The following is a 23,759-nucleotide window of genomic DNA, read 5'->3' on the forward strand; positions in this document are numbered from 1 at the left end:
TGGACTCCGCAACCTTCCTAACTACCCTTGAAACCCCACTCTGATGTTTCCACACCATGCCCATTGTGCCTGTGGTGATGGATTGTCATGCCCTTGGCTGCAGGGACCTGCCACTCTCCTGCCTTATTTCATGCACGTTGGTTCCTTCCTTGCTCGTGGACCCAGAGAGGCACTAAAGCTTTTCTCTGCATGGTCCCTATCTGGTGCTGGGCCTGGCTCTGGGAATTTCAAATTAAAACCTGCTTGTGGTCAATTGTTGACAGCATCATGGCCTTTCCATGAGAGTAATAGCAGGAAATGTGTGTCCCAGCTACAAAGAGGACAATGGCACATTCACGGGCCTCAAAAGGGTTTGTGTGCAGCTTTGGACAATGTTGATTTGTTATTTTACGGGTCACTCTGCATTGCCCACCATTGTCAGTACACAAAAGAACGTATTGAGACTAGATCTGAGCAGTGAAATACAAGACGTGAGAATTAAACCTAGGAGAGAAGTCTCAAGAAGGAAGCAAAACTTCCTCAAACTAGGCATCTGCCCCAGGGACAGCCATGCAGCTTCCCCTCCAGGTGGGCCATGGGGGCTGACACATAAAAGACAGCAGCCCTGGACAGCAGGTACACAACTGCCAGTGGAAGTGCCCCAGCCTCCACCCTCCTCCACTGCTGATAGGCAGCACGGCCCAGCCACACTCCTTGCCCACAGCACTCACAGGCTGTCCCTGCCCTGGTGCATGATGTCTCTCCTTGGCCCCTCCAACTCTCAGGGCCATTTGAGTGCAGCCCCCCTCCAGGAAGCTCAGTACCTGCACCTTTGTGACCTCTTCCATCCTGCAACTCACCACCCTGCCTGGATCACCCCTGAGCAAGTGGTCCTGTAGAAGTTAGCAACTGCTTATGGAATCCTTTCCTAGGACAATTATCAACTAGGCTGGCCAGCTTGTTCCCTTAGCCATAGCTTTAATGTCCAGGAAACTGCTGGTCCCAAGATAGGAGGACAAAGTACAAATGAACTTTGCTTTAAAACCCACCAACAGGGCTAGGTGTGGTGGTTCACACTTGTAATCCCAGCACTTTGGGTACCTAGATGTTCCCCAAAGTCTGCCAAACAACTTTGTTCTTTCTTTTCTCCCTAGTTTTTACCCTTTACTCTCCAGAGCCCAGGCCCCAGCTCAAACACCTATGCCACTAAGACTTGGGTAATTGTGACTATTGTCATGATTAGCCAACATGGCGAAACCCCATCTCTACTAAAGATACAAAAATTAGCTGGGCCTGGTGGCAGGTGCCTGTAATCATAGCTACTCGGGAGGCTGAGGCAGAAGAATCACTTGAACCTGAAAGGCAGAGGTTGCAGGGAGCCGAGATTGTGCCATTGCACTCCAGCCTGGGAGACAGAGCAAGACTCCGTCAAAACAAAATAAAACAAAACTAAAAAACCACCAACAGATGTAGAAATTGGTGCAATCACTTTGGAAAACCATTTGGCAGCATCAGTTAAAGCAGGATATGCCTAATGACTAATGTGGGCTGGCAAGTGCTTAATAACCATCTCTGAAAATAGAGTTCCAACAAGAATATTGGAAAAATATTGAATTATTGAAAAAATAAAAACTATTGAGGTGTTTGTGGTAAAGAGTAAGAAGAAAGAGAAAAACACTGCACATGTCTCAGAACGTCACCCATTCATCAATGACATAAGCATTTTTTTTCATGAATCAGATAATAGTTTTTTGATACTGGAGAAATATTTTCTTACTTTTTATGCGACTCACAATGTCACAGCTATAGAGATGACACACACCTAAGTTTAGTCTGCATTATTAACATTTTCTCAGGCTGGGCACAGTGACTCATACCTGTAATCCCAACACTTTGGGAGGCCGAGGCAGGTGGATTGCCTGAGCCCAGGAGTTGGAGACCAGCCTGGACAACATGGAGAAACCCCATCTCTACCAAAAATAAACAAATAAATAAATAAAAATTAGTCTGGCTTGGTGGCGAGCACCTGTAGTTCCAGCTACCAGGGAGGCTGAGGTGGGAGGATCACCTGAGTCTGGGAGGTTGAGGCTGTAGTGAGCTGTGATCACACCATTGAACTCCAGCCTGGACATTAAAGTGAGACTCTGTCAAAAAAGAAAGGAGAAGGAAGGGAAGGGAAGGGAAGGGAAGGGAAGGGAAGGGAAGGGAAGGGAAGGGAAGGGAAGGGAAGGGAAGGGAAGGGAAGGGAAGGGAAAGGAAAGGAAGGGAGAAAGAGAGAGAAAGAAAGAAAGAAGAAAGAAAGAAAGAAAGAAAGAAAGAAAGAAAGAAAGAAAGAAAGAAAGAAGGAAGGAAGGAAGGAAGGAAGGAAGGAAGGAAGGAAGGAAGGAAAGAAAGAAAGAGAAAGAAAGGAAGGAAGGAAGGAAGGAAGGAAAGAAGGAAAGAGAAAGAAAGAAAGAAAGAAAAAGAAAGAAAGAAAGAAGGAAGGAAAGAAAGAAAGAAAGAAAGAGAAAGGGAGGAAGGGAGGGAGGGACAAGAGACAGACAGAGAGAAAGAGAGAGAAAGAAAACAAAGAAGAAAGAAAAAGAAAGAAAGAAAAACATTTTCTCTATCACTTTCTTAAGTCTAACTTTGGACAATCAACAAAACAATAAACCTATGAAGCCCTGATTTGTAGCATTTGCCAGTTTCTGTGGTGTAAAAACTCCTCCAATGACTGAGTTCAAGCTGCTGACATGGATGGGTGCCACTGAATTTGGAGTTGGGAGGAGATGAATGATATTCCACTGTTGTATAACATTCCCACCATACAGATACAATAGGCTGAAATAACCTCAAGAGCCACAGGAATGCAAGGGAAAGGGAAATCAGAATGGGGGAAAATTTTGCAAATCCCTGACAATGTTAACAGCCAGCTCCCATGAGCCAGAATGAGCCAACTCCAGCACAGCACTGCCTGGAACCCAGCCTCTCCTCTCCTAGGTGTACGCCCAGCAGAAATGCATACATGTGTACACCAAAAACACAAACAAGAATGTTGATAAGAGCATTGTCCATACATGTCCCAAATGTCTGTGAGTGGTAGATGGATAAATCAATTGTAATACTATCAACTAAGCAGTGAGAATGAGCTAACTTCTGCTGCCCACGACAATATGGTTGAATCTCACATGCATAGTATTGAGCATAAGAGGTTGGACACAAAAGAGCACCTACCACCTGCCTGCATTTATGTGAAGCTCACAAACAGTAAAAATCAGTGCCCGTGAGGCCACAAGATAGGGGAGTGTTAACCTTGGGGAAGAGGGGCAAGAAAGTGATTAATAGGAGCAAGAGTGGAGCCTGGGGGTGGAAATGTTTCTATTCCTTGATTTGGGTGGTGATTACACAAAAGTGTTCATTTTGTGATAACTCATCTAGCTACACAAATATTAATTGTGCATGTTTCTATATGTAGGTTAGGTGTCAGTATAAAGTTTATTTTATTTTATTTAGTTTAAAAAAAAACGGAGACAGGGATCTTGCTATGTTGGCCTGGGTAGCCTCAAACTCCTGGCCTCAAGCAATCCTCCTGCCTATGCCTCCCAGAGTGCTGGGACTATAGATGTGAGCTGCTGCACCCTGGCCAAAAGTTTATTTTTAAAAGCCCCCAGCAGGAAGGCATACAAATGACTTTGGCCTCATAAATAACCTTGGCACTCCCCAGAGGTGCTGTCCTTGTTTGGGATGTACCAGAGATGCCCTTGGAAGGCCCCCTGGAGGCTACAGAGCAAAGCTTTCTTGAAATATGGCCTCCTCCCTCAAATGTCAACCCTTGTCAATGGCTGAAGAGGGAAGGGAGGGGTCGGAGAAGACAAGAGCATGGAAATTCGTAAATGGACAATAGTCATGATTACCCAAGTCATAGTGGCATAGGTGTTTGAGCTGGGGCCTGGGCTCTGGCTAGCAAAGGGTAAAAACTAGGGAGGAAAGAAAGAACAAAGTTGTTTGGCAGACTTTGGGGAACATCTTCTGAACACTTACCATAGGATGCTGCTCTGAACACTGCTTGATCCTCAGCCATCTCCGTGAGGTAGGTCCTGTGACCATAATCCCCATCTCACAGATCAGGACACTGAGGCTTGGGGCAAGATGAAACTGAGGTTCCCTCCAGGCAGCGTCAGGCCTTAGGGGCTGTGCTGTCCTCACAACACCCCTACCCTTGCTCCCCTAAAAAATTGCATGTCCCTGCTGGGAAGGCAGTGCCAAGAAGGGCCTGGAATGTTCTGCCAATATCCACCCTCCTCCCATGCTGGAACTGAGCCCTTATGATCTGGGGGCCCCAGCATATTGTTGTCAATCAAAATTAGCTAAACTTGATGAAGCAAGAACATTAAAAGTGCCCAGAGGAGGAATAAGGAAACAGATGAAAAATGAAGTCAGACATTCCCAGCAGGTGCTAACACCTGAAGGTGTACAGTGTGTCTCACCCCATGCCCCTACCCACCACCTCGGGGCAGAGAGGTCAATTCTTTCACATCCTTGGGGGCTGCTGGGGAAGAAAGGAAGATGTATGGGCCTGGCCCTGGGATGATGCCTCCTCCCTGGCCAGCCCCACTGCTTACAGACCCTCTCTGGGACCCGGCTGCTCTCGGAGCAGAGCCAGCTCCTCTGGCTCTGGGAGCACCTACCAGGGCTGGGGGAATGAGCCTTCTTCCATTCCTTCTACTCATTAAATTCTGGATCAAGTCAGACCACAGCCCAGGGCCCCAGCTGGAGTTCCAGGGATCTGGGAAGCCAATAGCAGAAAGCCCAGGGTGCAGCCTGCCCAGCCTGAGGCAGGTGGCTGGCAGGTGATGATAAGGGCTGCTGGAGGGCCCCCACGCTTTGTTCCCCTCAGTGCCCGCTGTGCTCACTCAGGCCAGCTGTGAAGGCCACGTCACCGTCCACTGGGAAGTGAGGCGGAGCTCCCTGCTGGAGAGCCAGAATGGGCGGGAATGCAGGTACTGCTGGCACTCCCAGAGGGAGGGAAGGTGGGGAGCTCGGCTGAGGGGAAGTTTTCCAGAACTTCCTGGCCCCTCAGAAGAGCTCCCACCTTCCCTCCCTCTGGGAGTGCCAGCAGTTTCTGCATGGGAAAGAGGAAGCCCTGTATGGCAGGTGTCCACCCACAGTTCGGTGACAGCTGCTGGTGGAATTGAGGACCATCTGCTTGCTTAGTGCAGTCACAGGAATGCTGAACTCACAGGCTAAGGCTGGGGGCAGGGGCAGAGGCCCCAACATGGCTCCTAGGGAGAATTGCAGGCTCTCCTCTGAGGAAGAGACTTCAGGAGGTGCCCCAGCCCCAGGAGGCCCTCAACCCTAACCCTTGCCTGTGCCCAGTCACTCACTCTTAAAGCATCCATTCACATTGATTAGCTTTATTGCTTCCAGCAAATGTTGACATTCACCCCTGTAAAGTCTTCAAAGCCTTGGGGTCAGGGTTCACCTCCATATGCAGCAGTTTGTGGCGCATTCATTGTTGCTGCCATTTTCTGGTTTTGGAGACCAAGGCCCAGACAGGTCTGAAGGAAATAATGTATACAGTGGTCCATTTCCAAGACAAAGTGCCTTGAATCGGCTTAGGTCAGCAAACTGCAGAAGAAACAGAATGTACTAGGCTCCTGCTTGGATAGCCAAGGCCTGCTTGTTGGCCTCCCCTTTCCTCCCCCTTCCGCCACACTTGGTTGCCCTCACCTGAACCAACGAAGTTTAGTCTAAGGTAAAAGTTTAATAGTCTGCAAAATAGCTTGCTTTGTCTGTTCTTATCAGCCTGCCCAGCTACTTAGGTCATAAGTCAAATACTTAAAGAGCCCCTAAGCTAACCAGGATTGCAATGCATTGTGGGCTGCAACAAAATGCACCAAAACAACCCTAAAAACAAACAGACAAACAAACAAAACACCTGAAGCCCCTGACTAACAATCAATAGGCAACATCCAGGAAGATTGTAACCCCATAGTACTCAGCCTATTGGGAACCGGGGGAGGCACCTGCGCACTAGGGTATAAATTGCTTGTTGAAACTTTGCTGGGTGTGCCTGCATGCCACACACCCAATCTTGCAAGACCATCATTAAAAGTCTCACTTTCGCTATTCTCGGGGTCTCTGAGTCCATTCTTTGGGTTTGAATGGGGGAGTTTGTTTCTCAGAAGCCTATATTCCATCCATGAAGATGAGGTGATCTCCAGGCTGCATTAGGGAACTCATATATTCCCAGAGGAGGGAACAAAAGCAGTAGAATGAATTGCAGCTGGGAAGACTTTGGTACGATAGACACCAGAACTGCCACTCTCCACAGAGAGGGGTAAAGAAAGCTGTGGGGCCAAAAGAAGTCCAGCTCAGCCACATAGGTGGACCAAGATACCTTGTAAAGGCGCAAGTTTGGCCTCACTATCCAGCCCCCGTACCTCAACATGCACAGTGCATCTGTTGACCACAAAGACATTTCTTCATCATGGCCTGGCAGGACCCGGAGAAGACTATTTGCCTCATTTCACAAGTAAGAAAACTGGGTCTCACAAAGGAGAACTTACCTGCCCAATACATCCATGTTTTAAAATAAACTTTTTATTTTGGTATAGTTTTACAGTAAAGTTACAAAGACCGTTCAGAGATTTCCCATCCACCTCTCATCCAGTTTCCCCCATTGTTACCATCTTACGTTACTATGGTATATTTGTCAAAACTAAGAAGCTGACATTGATATGTTACTATTAACTAAATGCCAGACCTTATTTGGATTCCATCAACTTTTCTATTAATGTCCTCTTTTTTGTTCCAGAATCCCATCCAGGATACCACATTGCATTTACTTGTCATTTGTCCCAGCCTCCTCTGATCTGCTGTGACAGTTTTTGAGTTTTTCCTTAATTTTAATGACCTCAACAGTTTTGAGGAGTACTGGTCAGGCATCCTGTAGAATGTCCCCCAGTCTAAGTCTGTCTCATGTTTTTCTCACGATTAGACTGGGGTTACAGGTTGGGGGGAAGCACACTACAGAGGAGGAGCACCCTTCTTATCACAACCTATTAGAGGGTGCATTACATCCACACTGGTGATGCTCACCTTCATCACTGGGTTAAAGGTAGTATCTACCAGGTTTCTCTACTAGTTACTCTTTTTCCGTTTCCATACTCTGTTATTTGGAAGTGTCTAGCCTACCCAGAAAGAGGATGGTAGCAGCTGAACTAAGCCTCATCCCCTGGAGGGAGGACTGTCTAACATGCTATTTCAAATTCTGTTAAAAAAAAAAAAAGATTCGTCTTTGTACTCTATTTATTCAATCATTTATATCAGAATAGCCTCACTTATATTTAATACTTTGGGTTATAACACAATACAATACTATGTTAGTTATTTTGTTGTTCACATCGTTCCAGCATTGGCCATTGGGAGCTCCTTCAGGTTGGTTCCTGTGTCCCTCTGATGTGTTCCCACCCTTTTTGTTTTTGAGTACTTCCTTTCTTTCTGGTGCTACAAGATGCTCCAGGCTCTTGTATTTTATCAGTCATTTCTCCAAGGAGCCTTTGCTTCTTTTATTGGAGAAAGGTATTTAGAAACCAAGATGTGAGCACTGGGGTGTCATTGCCTCTAGGCCCTCTCAGCTGACTGAGCCAGGTAATATATGCATACATACTAAATTATTAGATATACACATATCCACATTGTTTCTGTATCTATCCATCTGTGTATATACTGAGCATCGTACTGATGTCTCCAACTGTAATCCCATCTCCAGGATTCATTCCAGCCTTCCTTTCTTGTTAATTGTAACTTTCCTCTCCCACAGTGTGAACAACCTGGCCCACCTTCTCTCATGTATTTACTTATTTGCTCATCCCCAGTACACCCATGAAGCTGTTTCAGAATCCTTAACCTGGGTACCCTTATGTAAAATAAATTTATCGACCGGGCACAGTGACTCATGCCTGTAATCCCAGCACTTTGGGAGGCCGAGGCGGGACGATCATGAGGTCAGGAGATCGAGACCATCCTGGCCAACATGGTGAAACCCCATCTCTACCAAAATTGCAAAAATTAGCTGGTCATGGTGGCATTGCCTGTAATCCAAGCTACTTGGGAGGCTTAGGCAGGAGAATCGCTTAAACCAGGGAGTCGGAGATTGCGGTGAGCCGAGATCGCGCCATTGCACTCCAGCCTGGGAGACAGAGCAAGACTCTGTCTCAAAAATAAATAAATATATATATATATATATATATATATATATATATATATATATATATTTATCAATTAGAGTACATTGTTCATAGTACCTTTCATCTTTAGCCTAATAATTTCCAGGCAAAATATTATCTTCCAATGTTATTTAGGCCAGTCCCTTCTCTCCCCCAGCCCCCACTGGTGCGGTTATATAATGAATTTGTAATAAAGTTTATATGCTTTTTATGCATTGTCTCCCAGCTCCGAACGCGTCCTTCAATATAGCATATGCGCTGACGTGGACTTCTCCAAGCATCTCTCTCCTTCAGTGAGCTCGGCAAGATTGCTCGGTAGAGGGCGGTGGAGGGACGTTGCAGGAGGAAGGGGCGCTCCTGCCATTTCCAGTGAGGGCCACGGGAGGGCGGTCCGGGTGTGAGGACTGCGGTCTGCTGCACCTGCAGCCTGGGTGTGGCGATGACCTTTTCTGCAGCCCTCTCAACACAGACCTCGGAGTCTCCGAGCAGCCTGTGTGCTCTGCAGGCCTGCTGTCCGTGCTGGCGCCCAGACTTCCTCTCCAAGCTCCCGCCTGCCCTGTGGCCCCGAAGGTTCCATGCTGAGCTGCAGCACTTCCTGCAAGCCTCCAGTGGCTCAGGCGCTCAAAAGGCCTCCTGTCCCCACTGTATGCCCATGTCACTGGTTCCCGATCCCCTGCTCCTTTGTCGGCTTACAGACAGTGGCCTGTTGCCTGCCCAACAAATTCCTGGCCAGCGCCAGCCTGACCAAACCGGTGAGAGTCCTCTGCTAGCAGGTGTGCTGACTGCACCTCCAAGAAGTCTGAACCCTTCCAAGCTTGTCCTTCCCAGGGTGCACTCCCTCAGCACGAGGATACAATGCAGTTTCTTCATTAACTCCTCTCCTGTCCTAGGATCACTCCCTCTGGGAAAGAAGACCAGCCTTGGCCCCAGAGGAATGTGTCCTAATTTAAAAAGCAGCTCAATTACTGCAGCACCTTGGGGACCAAGGCCAGTGGGATGAGAAATGCAGGTTCTGGTTCGTGCCCTGTGCCCCTGGGCTGGTGGCAGGAGCAGCGGGGCTGGTTAGCATCCCACTGTCAAACCCCAGCCTTGAACGTTCACCTGGAGCTTGGCCTGGGAGCCACTAACCATGGGTCACCTGGTCCAGGGACGTGAGACATACTCTCCACTGCCCCACAGGCAGAGCTACTCAGGCAGGGACCTGAGGCAGGCTGGTCTCAGGAACAGGTTGGCCACAGCTTCAACAGTAAGAGAGCGGGGATCACAAGAAAACCAGGCTTAAAGGAACCCAAAGTTACAAATTCACTTTCTCTCCTTTGAGTCCAGTGTGTTCTCTGTTCCCTGTGCTGATCATGGCATCCTTTGCTCAGTGATACTCTTTGCAGCATTTAGAAGGGTAGGTAGCACTCACTCTCTCAAGCCTGAACTGGAAATACTACCATAGCCAGGGTAGCTCACAACCCCAGCACAGCCACAGGACCTCTCATCCACCCTCCTTTATGTTTATAAATTTCTTTATGTTCTTAACTACAAGTGCATGATTTCCTAAGTGATGGCATTGTGGTTTTGTTCCTCACGTAAGAGGTATTTTGTTGTGTAGAAGCTCCAGCAGCTTGAATTCTTTACTCAATGCCATGATTGTGAGATAAGCCCATGTTGATCTATGTAGCTCTAGTTTAGGGAATGGCAAACCTCTTTCTGTAAAGAGCCAGATAATAAATATTTTAGGCTTTGTGGACCAAGAGGCAAATCAAAGATATTATGTAGGTCCTTATCTAGGTATAAGAAGGAAGACAAATTACCACAAAACTTTGTTGATGAAATTCAAAATGTAATATTATAATAAAATAATAATAATCAAATCAATTGTTTTGTAATACAGATCTAGAATAATGAAATTCTTTTGGGGAAAATATCAAAGTGACTATTTTTTATCTACTTCAAATATCCATCTTTATGAGTCATTCTTAGTTCTTGAGCCACACAGAAACTCGTGATGGGCCAGATTTGGTTGTGGGCCAAAGGTGACCAAACCCTACTCTAGTTCATTCATTTTCACTGCCGCATAGAATTCCACTGGATGACTCTAACAAAAGGTTTTATCTGTTCACTGGGAGGAGAGAGGAGTGTTCCAGTTGTTTCTATTTTAAAATTGTATTTCTATAAGTATTCTAATACATATCAGTATACTATACGTGCAAATGTTTATCTGGATGGTATACATACAAGTAGAATTGCTGAACAGGGCATGTGTATCTTTAATCCCAAACTGTTTCCCAAAGTGGCTGTACTAATTTCTAAGAGTGGCAGCTATATTTGTCCCTGTTGCTCCACAGGCTTATAAACATTTGGTATTTGGTCAGCAGGCTCTTCCAACACCCCTTTGAAGGCGTTTCATGTTTCCTGCCACAGGGTTGGGAGGAGGCTGTGTAGACCAAAACCACGTAATAAAAATAATAATCATTTTTATGTATGCCTTTTTTATGCCATTGACAACAGAATTATGAAAAAAAAAAAACAAATTCGAAACACACAAGTGACAAAAAAGTTCCAGAAGACAGAAGGACCAGGAGCAGCGAGGGCCACTGCCCACTTTGGAGGTTTTCCATTTTCGTGGCAAGAGCAGGCCCCAGGAGCTCTGCCAGTTAGGAACCTCTGCAGCCTGGGAGCACACGTGGATATCTGGTCTAGGTTCAGTAGGTGCCGCTGCCTGAGCTGCCCCGACTGCTGGGCAAGGAGGGATTTCCTGTAGCCATCCACAGACTTCCAAACTCACATGGTCTCATATTGATTCTGGATTGTTGGTTTACATAAGCCCTGGCGCAGGCTGCGAATTTTATCTCAGGGAAGTGGTGTATTTCAGCCAATGAACAGGTCATCAGAAATGAGAACTTTTAGAACATGGAGGGCAAGTCTTCTCATTGGGTTGCAGTTAAAAATTCTCAGTTGAATCATAAAACCAGTCGTTCAAAGGAAACTTTTAAAAGTACCAGCCCTGGAAAATTCTGTTCTTAGGAATCACATCTCAGCTTCAAGGAGGAACTAAACTGGCTGGTAAAACTTTTGATCTTGCATTCAGCACAGGGACAGTGTAAAAGGAAAGAAAAATAGTGGAAAGCATTTTCGTTAAACTTGACCGAGAGAGCAATTTCTTTGGAGAATAAGATCACAGAGGGTAGGCTGGCCACATTTGAAAGGGAAAAGAGGCTTACCTTGACCCAAAGGCTCTTACAGTTGGGAAACTAAAAGAGGGAATTATTTAAGTGTCATTAGGTCTGAGATGATGACACACCAGCAAGCCCCAACAGAAAAAGTGGTAAGTTATCAGAGAGGAAATGGAGGATTCCCCAGAGAATGCATAGATCCAGAAAACTGTGGACAGTTGCCCTCATAAAAACTGTAATAAGAGCAATTGCAAGACCATCCCCGTCCTCCCTCCTCCCACCCCTGGAACCCCAGACTGGGATAGTTCTATAGAGTTAACAGAATTTGGGACAGAATTCATTCAACATTCATTCAAATAATTACTGAATATCCAGGCACTGTTCAGATGAGCAAAAATTCCCTGCTTTTCTATGTCAAGACTGGCAGTTTCCTAGAAACCAAGGCTATGTCAAGAGGTGATTAAAAAATGAACAATTGTGGAAAAACAGAATAGTGAGAAAGAAAGAGAGTGTGGAAGGAGAGGGAGAGAGTTGCCACTTTATTGAGGGAATTTAAGGAAGGCCTCCCTAATAATTCAAGAGGAGGCCCAGAGGAGCTGACAGAATGAGCCATGCTCCAGGTTATTCTGTGAAAGGAAGAGCAAGGAGGCCAGCTTAGCCAGGGGGTGGCATTTGAATTTTTAAAAGGCTCTTTGGCGCTCTGTAAAGGATGATTTTTGAAAGACAATACTCGGGGATATAAACCAAAATTGTCCAGTCAAATAGTGAGGACCTGAACCCAAGGAAGTGGTGGCAGGTAGGAAAAGGAAAGTCCACACTAGCACAAGTATAGCTGCAGTTGCTTCCTATTCTTGTACCTGTTGTAGAGAGCAGGCAGGTGGCTCCAACCCTCAGGACAGCTGGGAAGTCAAGGAGGGTTTAAACGCAGGTGTATCATTTCTTAAGGCTTCCATGCAAAATACCACAAGCTGGACGCCTTAATACAAATGAATTCTCTCATAATTCTGGAGGCTAGAAGACCAAAATCAAAGTGTGAGCAGGGCCATGCCTCCTATAAAGGCTGGTCTAGAGAGAATCCTTTCTTGCCTCTTCCAGCTTCTGTGGGCTTCAGGTGTTCCTTGGCTTGTGCCAGCTTAACTCATGTCTCCACATGGCTTTCCCCTAGGTCTCTGTGTCTCAAATCTCACTCTGCCGCTCCCTTATAGAGATACCTGTCACTGGGTTTAAGGCCTACCCCAAATCCAGGACAGTCTTGCAATATAGCTTAGTTTTGTTTTTTAATGATGTTTGAGGCCCTGGCTAAAGAGGAGTCAGTCCACACTCCAACCACGTTTGTTATCTGGCCGTCACACTCCTGATCACTGTGCACCTGCCCTAGTAACCCCAAGGCCAGGAAATGATACCTGGTGTAATGCCTCTGTGACATAGCTGAATTTCTACCCCATTCTACCTCTGCTTATCTTTAAGAAATAGGACACCTGTGATACAAATTTCCCTTTGTAACCAGACCAACTAAGACTGGTTAGAACCAAGATAGACAATCAAATGACTTCAGAAAGATCTGAGGCTTTATTATAATGTCATTTCCATGCTAAATGACCCTCCCACAAGCACCATGGCAGTTGACAATCGCCATGACCATGACCAAAAGAGGCCATAAAAGGACAAAAAGGAAAGCAGCACTCCATTTCCAAGAAGTTCGCCACCCATCTCCAGAAAAGACCTGAATATTCCTCCCCTCATTTCTAATGTTCAACCCCTTCATTAGAGAAATCCTTCTTGAACATGGTAAAACCCCATCTCTACTAAAAATACAAAAACCAAAAACTAGACTTTGGGAGGCTGAGGCGGGCGGATCACAAGGTCAGGAGATCGAGATCATCCTGGCCAACACGGTGAAACCCCGTCTCTACTAAAAATACAAAAAATTGATTCTGCAGCATTCATTCAGGAAGCACTCATGAAGAGCCTACCAGGTGCCAGCCCTGGCCTGGGGCTGGGCTTAGAGCCGGGACAGGATGGCCCGGCATCTGCTCCATGGAGCTCACAGCCCAGCCTAGGCTGGCAACTCCAGTCTGCCCCAGTTTCCAGTTCTGTCCATTCCCCTTGCAGCTCAGCATGGATGAAGCTTTGAAATCCAGCTCTCCCTCTCCCTCTCCCTCTCCCTCTCCCTCTCCCTCTCCCTCTCCCTCTCCCGTCTCCCCACGGTCTCCCCCGTCTCCCCACGGTCTCCCTCTCCCTCTGTTTCCACGGTCTCCCTCTCATGCCGAGCCGAAGCTGGACTGTACTGCTGCCATCTCGGCTCACTGCAACCTCCCTGCCTGATTCTCCTGCCTCAGCTTGCCGAGTGCCTGCAATTGCAGGCACGCGCTGCCACACCTGACTGGTTTTCGTATTTTTTTTGGTGGAGACGGGGTTTCGCTGTGTTGGCCTGGCCGGTCTCCAGCTCCTAACCGCGAGTGATCCGCCAGCCTCGGCCTCCCGAGGTGCCGGGATTGCAGACGGAGTCTCGTTCACTCAGTGCTCAATGGTGCCCCGGCTGGAGTGCAGTGGCATGATCTCGGCTCGCTACAACCTCCACCTCCCAGCCGCCTGCCTTGGCCTCCCAAAGTGCCGAGATTGCATCCTCTGCCCGGCCGCCACCCCGTCTGGGAAGTGAGGAGCGTCTCTGCCTGGCCGCCCATCGTCTGGGATGTGAGGAGCCCCTCTGCCTGGCTGCCCAGTCTGGGAAGTGAGGAGCGTCTCCGTCCGGCCGCCATCCCATCTAGGAAGTGAGGAGCGCCTCTTCCCGGCCACCATCCCATCTAGGAAGTGAAGAGCGTCTCTGCCCGGCCGCCCATCGTCTGAGATGTGGGGAGTGCCTCTGCCCCGCCGCCCCGTCTGGGATGTGAGGAGCGCCTCTACCCTGCCGCGACCCCGTCTGGGAGGTGAGGAGCGTCTCTGCCCGGCCACCCCATCTGAGAAGTGAGGAGACCCTCTGCCTGGCAACCGCCCCGTCTGAGAAGTGAGGAGCCTCTCCGCCCGGCAGCCACACCGTCTGGGAAGTGAGGAGCGTCTCCGCCCGGCAGCTACCCCGTCCGGGAGGGAGGTGGGGGGGTCAGGCCCCCGCCCGGCCAGCCGCCCCGTCTGGGAGGGAGGTGGGGGGGGTCAGCCCCCCGCCCGGCCAGCCGCCCCGTCCGGGAGGTGAGGGGCGCCTCTGCCCGGCTGCCCCTACTGGGAAGTGAGGAGCCCCTCTGCCCGGCCAGCCGCCCCGTCTGGGAGGGAGGTGGGGGGTCAGCCCCCCGCCCGGCCATCCGCCCCGTCCGGGAGGGAGGTGGGGGGGGTCAGCCCCCCGCCCGACCAGCCGCCCCGTCCGGGAGGGAGGTGGGGGAGTCAGCCCCCCGCCCGGCCAGCCGCCCCGTCTGGGAGGTGAGGGGCGCCTCTGCCCGGCCGCCCCTACTGGGAAGTGAGGAGCCCCTCTGCCCGGCCACCACCCCGTCTGGGAGGTGTGCCCAACAGCTCATTGAGAACGGGCCAGGATGACAATCGCGGCTTTGTGGAATAGAAAGGGGGGAAAGGTGGGGAAAAGATTGAGAAATCGGATGGTTGCCGTGTCTGTGTAGAAAGAAGTAGACATGGGAGACTTTTCATTTTGTTCTATACTAAGAAAAATTCTTCTGCCTTGGGATCCTGTTGATCTGTGACCTTACCCCCAACCCTGTGCTCTCTGAAACATGTGCTGTGTCCACTCAGGGTTAAATGGATTAAGGGCGGTGCAAGATGTGCTTTGTTAAACAGATGCTTGAAGGCAGCATGCTCTTTAAGAGTCGTCACCACTCCCTAATCTCAAGTACCCAGGGACACAAACACTGCGGAAGGCCGCAGGGTCCTCTGCCTAGGAAAACCAGAGACCTTTGTTCACTTGTTTATCTGCTGACCTTCCCTCCACTATTGTCCTATGACCCTGCCAAATCCCCCTCTGTGAGAAACACCCAAGAATGATCAACAAAAAATAAATAAATAAATAAATAAATAAATAAAAATAAAATAAAAAAAAAAGAGAGAAATCCTTCTTCCCTCACTAGTTGAGAAGTTGATTTGTGAGCCAAGCTCCCGCTTCTCAATTCCATGGCCATTGAATAAAACTTGTGCTGCTTAAGATTCACTTTTGGTTTTGCATATTGGCTTTGCAGCACTAAACAGGAAAAGATCCCATTTGTGGGGAAACCAGCTTTGTCTGTAATAGTACTAGACAACTAGAGGCAGTCCCTATGCCCTGGAGCACTCAGAATTATTTAAATGAGCCAATCCACAGGGAGCCCATGAAACCTAGCTAGCCCCACGCAACTCCCCAACTTCCTACCCATAAACTGTCCCTCACAGCTCCAGCTGGCTGTTGCTCTGCCCCCAGGCACCCTCTGTGGGCCTGCCTGGCAGCCTTGCCTTGTTTGGAGGTATAACTAACAAATAGTTCTGCCTTTTATCTATCTTCGTGTCATTGTGGTGTGTCCCGCCATCAAAAGAAACTTTAAATTTCATGAAACTGACCTCATCTCTAGATCTTTCACTTAATTACATCTGCAGAAACCCTTTTTCCAAATGTGGTCACATTCAAAGGTGGACATCTCTTTCGGGATGTAGCAATGACTTAAGCCTTGTATACAGATGAAGTCAGCAAAAGGAATGCCAAAGTCAAGGGAGTCTGCTCTCTGTCATGCGATGCTATACCAGAGTCAGGTTGGAAAGTAGCTCCATTATACCAGGTTAATAAAACTCCCTTTAATGAGATATTATGGTTTGTAGGGCATAACTTTTACCATGCATAGCCTTAGGTCTTGTTTATAAATTGGTTATCTGATTGCAACAAGCAGTCTATTTTGTCAGTCTTATGATCTCTGTTTTAACCTTGATGCTGGTGAGTTGTCCCTAAAGTCAAAGGGAGGGAGTATGATAAGGTGTTTCCAACCTCCCCTCCTGTCATAGCTGGGAATTTAGTTTTTCAGGTTTCTCAGGGGTCCCCTTGGCCAAAAGCTAGTCCATTCAGTTGGTTTGGGGGCTTAGGAACTTATTTTTAGTTAGCAGTTTAAAATCAATAAAGTGTAACAACTATTTACATAGCATTTACATTGTATTAGGTATTATAAGTAATCTAGAGATCAATTAAAGTATACAGAAGGATGTGCATAGATTATATGCAAATACTATGTCATTTTGTATAAGGGACCTGAGCATCTGAGGATTTTGCTATCTGCAGGGGGCGCTGGAACCAATCCACCTGGAACTGAGGGACAGCTCTAATGCTGAGAAACAAAACTGGCTTGGAAAGAGGGGAGACCCAGGACTTGAGCCTGCCGAGGAGCTAAACCCAAGGGCAAGAGCTGCAGGCAGCTGGGCTGGAGAGGAGGAAGGAGGTGGCTTTGTTTCCAACTGCCCTGGAAGACCTCCTCATCCCCCTGCATCCCCAGCCTCCTTTCCTTTTTCCTTCCTGCTCTGCTCCCTTCCTTCCTCTCCTCCTCTTGGGAGGTGGCCAGGGACATAGGTCAGTGCCTGGCCCCGAGGAAGACACATGCAGTTTGTGGACGGGTCTTGGGATGCGGACACCCAGAGTCTTGTGCACCTTCCTGGAGTGTTGCCCACTCCAGTACCCACTCCCTAATCTCCCCTCTTCCTCCTCAATCCTCTCTTGCAGGAAGCAGAGGATGGAGAACCCCCTCAGGAAGGAGGGCAGTGACTCTGGGTTTGCCTAGGGCTAATGGCCTCTCACCGACCTGTGCCCTTGTACCTGTCGCCTGGGCAAACAGTGATTGCATCAGCTTTGGTTTCTCATGGGTGGGCAGCCTTGGCTGTCTGCCGGAACGTAAAGAGCATGGAGCAAGGACATGGGAATCCGAATCCCGCTGAGGTCCCAGGACCACTTCATCCTTCTTCCCTGTGCCTCTCCTCCCCAGCATGAGCACAGCAGCCTGATGGAGAAGGATTTTCCAATGTTAGAACTGGAAAGAACACCTGTAGCCTGTCTCCACCGTTTACAGTGGTGCTGGAAGTGAAAAGATGTGTTCCAGGTCACAGGCAGGTAGACAGCGGAGCCAGACTGAAATTCACTCCTCCTGATTTGGAGTTTAGAGCTCTTCTTTGGCAACATTTTGATGAATAAAATCACAAGTTCTGTGTCTTTTGAAATTCCTTGTGGAGCCTAGTGCCATCCTCTGAACTTGGAGCCAACTGACCTTTGTCCTTGGGGCAGAGACATGGTTCATGGGCCCAATCCAGGTCCTCAAAGGGAGGGCAGGTCTGAGTCCTTGCCCTCTGAAGTCAGAAACCTCATCTCCCACTACAGACCTGCCAGGGCCCAGGAGAGCTCGACCCACCCAGGCACACCATAGCCCCAGAGATGGCTGGGGACACAGAAGTGTGGAAGCAAATGTTTCAGGAGTTAATGCGGGAGGTGAAGCCATGGCACAGGTGGACCCTGAGACCAGACAAGGGCCTTCTTCCCAACGTCCTGAAGCCAGGCTGGATGCAATACCAGCAGTGGACCTTCGCCAGGTGAGGGGGAATGTGATGGTACACGTTCCAGAAAATTCTTGCACATTTCTTACTAGGTATACCTGTTACTTTTCTTGTTCTATTCTGTGCTTTCAAATTGAAGACTATGGGTAATAAGATGCCCATCATCCAAGAAGTTGTAACTTCATTAAAGATCGTTTTTTCACTATTACAATGAACCCCAAAGCAAGAGCAGGCCTGAGCACCCTTGTGAGCTAATGCCTGGATACAGAGAAATCAGTCTGTGGGGGTGGGGAGAGGGAGCAGCCAGGAAAGGGGAGGGGAGGAAGGGCAGCTGTTGCACCCACGGGCGGTGCATGTGCCCCATGCCTAGGGAGACTGCTGGACCCACCTTGGAGCCCCTAGGAGGAGAGACTCACGGCACTGAGCAGACACCCTCGGGGGAGGCCGGAGGAGCAGGGGGCCTGGGCAACAGGCAGCAATCCTGCCCCTCTCTACTCTGAGCTGATAGAATCTTTTTAAAATAGGAGTCTTAGAAATCATCCTAAGCCTCATCCTCTCTTTCCCAGGTGGAAATGGGGAGCCCCAAGGCTTGGGGCTGATTGCCCACAGTGCACAGAGGGTGGAGGCCGGGTCCCACCCGCTGTCCCCTCCCAGGGAGAGTCTACATAGAGGGGGCAGAGCTCTCCCACTGGCCTATGGCTATCCCAGGCCAGGAGCTGCCATAGGGAGCATTGCACCAAAGTCTCAGTCCATTTATCCATGGGAAGTTTGAACTCTGAACAAGCACAGGAACAGAGCACTGAGACCCAGGGGATGGCAGTGGACTTCTGCTCAGAACAGGGCCCAGGCCCCTCTGCACTGCTGACTCTGGGTGACTCCCAGCAAGGTCCTCTCACAGTGATCACAGCTTCTTGGCCTCTCCCTCTCATTTCAACCTTGCATTCACCCTGTGGGTTGCGGCTAGAGTCAAGATACAGGAGCACACCCTGGACTAACTCCCTCTTCCCAGCCCCCTCCAATTCACCACCTGCAGCCTAATTTCTCTGTATCCAGGCATCGGGGGCTCAGCCACAGTGACAAATAAACCTGGAAATATCACTGATTTAACCTTACACGTGGCTCCCAAGGTCACCGAAGCAGAGGAGGAGAGAGCTGGAATGTCTTACCAAGGCTTCTGTGACCATATCTGGAAGGAACATATATCACTGCTGGCCTCATCTCATTGCCCAACTGGTCCCATGGCCCCAGCCTCACGGCAAAGGGGCTGGGAAGTGGGAGGGAGTGCATGGATAATTTGGTGAGCATTAAATGTCTCCGCCACAGTGCAGCTCTCTGCCTCTCCCATAATTCCTTTCCCAGGTGCAGCCATGTGCTTCCTGCCTTCTTCTCTCTCTACCTCCTGACATGTATTTGTCCAGATACCTTAGCTCAAAAACTGCCCTCCTCCCTGCTGAGACAAGGTGTATTATCTTGTATCCTGTCTGAAGCCAGTGGCATTCAGAATATGAAGTTTTCCAGGCTACCTTGAGCAAGGGAACTGGGTTGGAGGGGAAACAAATGAAGAGAGAGCTGGACACTGTGATCTCCCTGCAATACCGCAGACCAGGGACCCTCGGCAGCCAAGAGAAAGGCAAAGGCTTTCCTCTAGGAGAACCCTGGACACTTCAGGCTCCCACCGCCAACCCATGAGTCTATAACTTAATCAACACCCACCTATAGGCATTTGTGGATTTCAGGGTCCTGAACTGAACTGGCTGCTGTTGCAGTTGTGGCCTCTGACCCATTTGAATCTACATTTGAAGAAGCTTTGCTTTGGAATAGGGAGACCACAGTCCCAGTCATGCCTTTTTACACCCACTGGGTCTCTGGACATGAGGAGTTTCCAGAGTGTGCCTCATCTCTAAAATGGACGTGTTGGACTTAGAAGATGCCCAAGGTCCCTCCCAGATCTAACAGCTTGCAATTCACTGTTTTCATAGCAGACACTGTGCAGCATGCAGTGTGTCAGTGGCACAATGGAGATGGGAAAGAGGTCTTAGCAATTTCTTCCACCACTGAGCCACAGCCCCAGTCAAGTCATGTCTCTGTGCAGTCGGTAGCTCCTTTCTCTCTCTGGCAGTTCCCCGTGATTTGGTCACATGGAGCCAGGCTGAGACTCTCTTCTGTCTCCACAGGTTCCAGTGCTCCTCCTGCTCTCGTAACTGGGCCTCTGCCCAAGTTCTGGTCCTTTTCCACATGAACTGGAGTGAGGAGAAGTCCAGGGGCCAGGTGAAGATGAGGGTGTTTACCCAGAGATGTAAGAAGTGCCCCCAACCTCTGTTTGAGGACCCTGAGTTCACACAAGAGAACATCTCAAGGATCCTGAAAAACCTGGTGTTCCGAATTCTGAAGAAATGCTATAGAGGAAGATTTCAGTTGATAGAGGAGGTTCCTATGATCAAGGACATCTCTCTTGAAGGGCCACACAATAGTGACAACTGTGAGGCATGTCTGCAGGGCTTCTGTGCTGGGCCCATACAGGTTACAAGCCTCCCCCCATCTCAGACCCCAAGAGTACACTCCATTTACAAGGTGGAGGAGGTAGTTAAGCCCTGGGCCTCAGGAGAGAATGTCTATTCCTACGCATGCCAAAACCACATCTGTAGGAACTTAAGCATTTTCTGCTGTTGTGTCATTCTCATTGTTATCGTGGTGATTGTTGTAAAAACTGCTATATGAGCCTTGGAAACATGAAGCTAAGTCAGAAAAAAAATCAGATACAAAAAGTCATATGTTGTATGATTTCATTTATGTGAAAGGTCCAGAATAGGCAAATCTATTAGATGAACTGCTAGCAGGGCCTAGAGATAGTGGGAGATGGGAAGCAACTACTTAATCCTGATGGGTTTTTTTTGTGGAGGAGAGAGGTGTGATGAGAATGTTTTGGACTGAGATAGAGGTGCGGTTGCACAACAGTGTCAATGCACTAAATGTCATTGAACTGTCCACTTTCAATGGTTAAATTTGTTATGTGACTTTCACTTCAGTATTTTTTAAAAAGGCCTTCACAATTGTGTTCACTCTCAAGAGAACTGAGTCTGAAGTGTCTATGATTCATAAACCATTTGGAAATCTTGTGAAGCCTGTGGGCCCCCTCACCAGGGAATTTTGCACAGACCCTCTGAGGTCAGACTGTGAGGGCAAAAGCATCAGGATGAAAACCTGGGTTCTCAAACAGTTGTCCCCATGGAGGGAGGTGTGTATGCTGCTGAGGGGGAAAGGCAGGATGTGCCACCGGGTGTTTCCTTTTTAAAGATAATGTAATTAGTATAAATTGTTGATTAACGGGGAACTCACAGCCAATAGCATCATGACCCAGGCCTGAAGGAAGCTTCTCTAACACACATATTCTCATATTCTCTCCATAAGGCATATCATAGCCTTCTCACTCTTAGGAACACCAGACAGCACTCTGCACTATGCTCAAGGGCCGTTTGAAACAGCAAAATCACTGACAGAAGCACAAAAATGTGAAACGCATGGCAAAATAGATCAGGAGATGGACGCTTGTTTATAGTACAAAAGCTGGAACAAACAGGCAGGGAACACACAAGCCCTGCTCTGGCTCAGTTGGGAACACAGGTGCTGGTGACTCCAATTTCCCCTGCTCTGCACATGTCTGTGAATGACCACAAACACACCATGAGTACTGATTTGGGGGTTACTAATAGATTTCAGCAGGCAGGCAAAATCACAAATAGACTCCACGAATAATGGGGCTGACCTGTGCATTCTCAAATGGCTTTGAACTGTGAATGACTCTGTTTTACTAACACATGCGGTCCACATGTGGAGTTCTCACCCACAAGGCTCACGTGAGGGCTGTCAGCTTGGAGCTCTGGGATTCCTACTAGCTAACCAGAATTTTTCATGTTCAGAGGACAGAGTCTCAGAAACTATTTGCTCCTTAGACCATGTCCTCCCAGTGACTGAACCAAAGCTGAGATTTTTCTTAGTAAAATCGAACAAAGGATTGACTTTATAAAACTTCCGTTGAAAGATGGATGTAAGGGGGCACGTTACCTGGCTAGATAGAAAGTTCTGATTTTAAATATTCCAGATAACCATAAAAATCTATCACTGCTAAGGGAATGCCTAATTTCTAAAGAAGTAATTGAAGTCTGGTGGCTCACGCCTGTAATTCCAGCACTTTGGGAGGCCAAGTTGGGCAGACCACCTGAGCTCAGGAGCTCAAGACCAGCCTGGCCAACATGGCGAAACTCCATCTCTACTAAAAATACAAACATGTGGTGACATGCACCTATAATTCCAGCTACTGGGAGGCTGAGGCACAAGAATCACTTGAACCCAGGAGGCAGAGGTTGCAGTGAGCCAAGATTGCACCACTGCACTCCAGCCTGGGTGACAGAGTGAGACTCTGTCTCAAAAAAAAAAAAAAAATTACCCTCTGACATACATACACCTGCTCACAAATATATTGTCTGACCAGTGACAGCTGCTGCCTAGTGTCTGCAGGGAAGAGGAAGGGGGTGTCCAAGTGGTGGGCTTGGGGCATGACCTGAACCGGATGAATACTGGTATTGCTCCTGTGCAAATTAAAATTTGACCTAAGGCCTCCAGCAGGTCAGCAGGAAAGTGAAAGGAGACCCACACCCCTCCCTGAGCTCCCACTATCTCCCAGTATACAAAGGCCAGAGATGGCCTCCTCCCAGCAACACACGAGGGCCCAGTGCAGTATTCAGAAAGAGTTGACAGTGAGTGTCTAGGCTGGGAATTGACCCTGTTCCAAGGAGAGTGGCCTCTGGGTTGGAAGACTGAGGTGAGTGTATGGAGGGTCATGACAAAGCCACCCCCTAGGGGAAGGGAAGAGAGTACCAAGCCTGCCCTGGCTTTGCCAGATAAGGGATGGTAATGCAAGCTGGTATTTATGTTGATAAATATCTGTTTCCAGAGTGGGTAGGCCTGGGTGACAGTAGAGGGTGTTCCAAATAGATCCTGGAATTATGTTTGTCAAGCTTAAGCAGATGAGAGACCAGCATTGGCTTATGGGCCCTTCCCTGCACAGGCATACTGTCTAAGTCTGTTTACGTTGCTGTAAAGGAATAGCTGAGTCTGGGTAATTTACAAAGAAAAGAGGCTTGTTTCATTCACAGTTCTGCAGAGTGTACAAGTAGCATGGCACTAGCATCTGCTTCGAGTGAGGGCCTCAGGCTGTGTCTGCTCATGACAGGTGAAGGAGAGCCAGCACAAGTAGGGATCACATGGGGAAAGAGGAAGCAAGAGAGGTGCGGGGTGGTGCCGGGTTCTAACAACTGACTCTGGCAGGAACTAAGAGCTAGAACTCACTCATTACACCAAGGATGGCACCAAGCCATTCATGAAGGATTCGTCCCCATAATCCAAACATTTCCCATTAGGCCCCACCTCTAACACTGGGGGTCCAATTTCATCATGAAGTTTAAAAGGTCAAATATTCAAAATATAGCACGTTCCTAGCACCCTTCCACATAAACAGCTGCTCTTCATCCTCGGAATACCCACAGTGGCTGGGGCATTGTCCACAGCTGCTCAGAGCCCAAGGCCAGAAGCTTCTAGGACTTCTATTCCAGATTTTCTCCCCTGCACCCTCCCCCTTTCCCTGAAGTTGAGAGTCAGTGGGAGGAGCACAGAGAGAGAGGCTGAAAGAAAAGAAATAGTCAAAAGGGAGAATTTAAGAGGGCCCTTAAATCTAGGTAACCTTTGAGATGAGCAAAGTAATATTGAGAAACAAAACTGGTGGAGATGAGGGGAGACTGCCACAGTGTGAGTCTGCTGAGGAAGGAGCCAGTTAGGCTGAAAACATGGGTTCTCAGGGAGTGGTCTCCCTGGGGCCACCTGTGACTGAGGGGTAAGGCAGGATGCACCACTGAGGAGGGAG

The 23,759-nt window shown here is 48.5% G+C and overlaps 2 protein-coding genes across 2 annotated transcripts in view, besides 2 other annotated features; one reads left to right on the forward strand and one right to left on the reverse strand.

Annotated features, from left to right (window-relative positions):
* LTF (lactotransferrin) overlaps nt 1-4,895 on the reverse strand; it is a 49,590-nt gene extending 44,695 nt beyond the window's left edge. Inside the window, exon 1 of the mRNA NM_001321122.2 lies at nt 4,647-4,895. The gene's annotated coding sequence lies outside the window, so the exon portion shown is untranslated. The remainder of the gene's footprint in view (nt 1-4,646) is intronic.
* Nucleotides 8,241-9,017: an enhancer, noted in NCBI's record as "H3K4me1 hESC enhancer chr3:46530070-46530846 (GRCh37/hg19 assembly coordinates)". NCBI's record gives its function as "activates a minimal SCP1, AML or CMV promoter by ChIP-STARR-seq in naive H9 embryonic stem cells {active_cell/tissue: H9 hESC(naive)}" and the evidence as "EXISTENCE:reporter gene assay evidence [ECO:0000049][PMID:30033119]".
* Nucleotides 9,018-9,792: an enhancer, noted in NCBI's record as "H3K4me1 hESC enhancer chr3:46530847-46531621 (GRCh37/hg19 assembly coordinates)". NCBI's record gives its function as "activates a minimal SCP1, AML or CMV promoter by ChIP-STARR-seq in naive H9 embryonic stem cells {active_cell/tissue: H9 hESC(naive)}" and the evidence as "EXISTENCE:reporter gene assay evidence [ECO:0000049][PMID:30033119]".
* Nucleotides 17,637-20,611, forward strand: RTP3 (receptor transporter protein 3). Its single transcript, NM_031440.2, has 2 exons — nt 17,637-17,878; nt 20,017-20,611. Exons 1-2 carry the CDS (start codon nt 17,724-17,726, stop codon nt 20,558-20,560), a joined length of 699 nt encoding a protein of 232 aa, NP_113628.1. The 5' UTR covers nt 17,637-17,723; the 3' UTR covers nt 20,561-20,611.
* The last annotated feature ends 3,148 nt before the right edge of the window (nt 20,612-23,759 follow it).

This window comes from Homo sapiens, chromosome 3 (genome assembly GCF_000001405.40).
Source record: "Homo sapiens chromosome 3, GRCh38.p14 Primary Assembly".
NCBI lineage: Eukaryota > Metazoa > Chordata > Mammalia > Primates > Hominidae > Homo > Homo sapiens.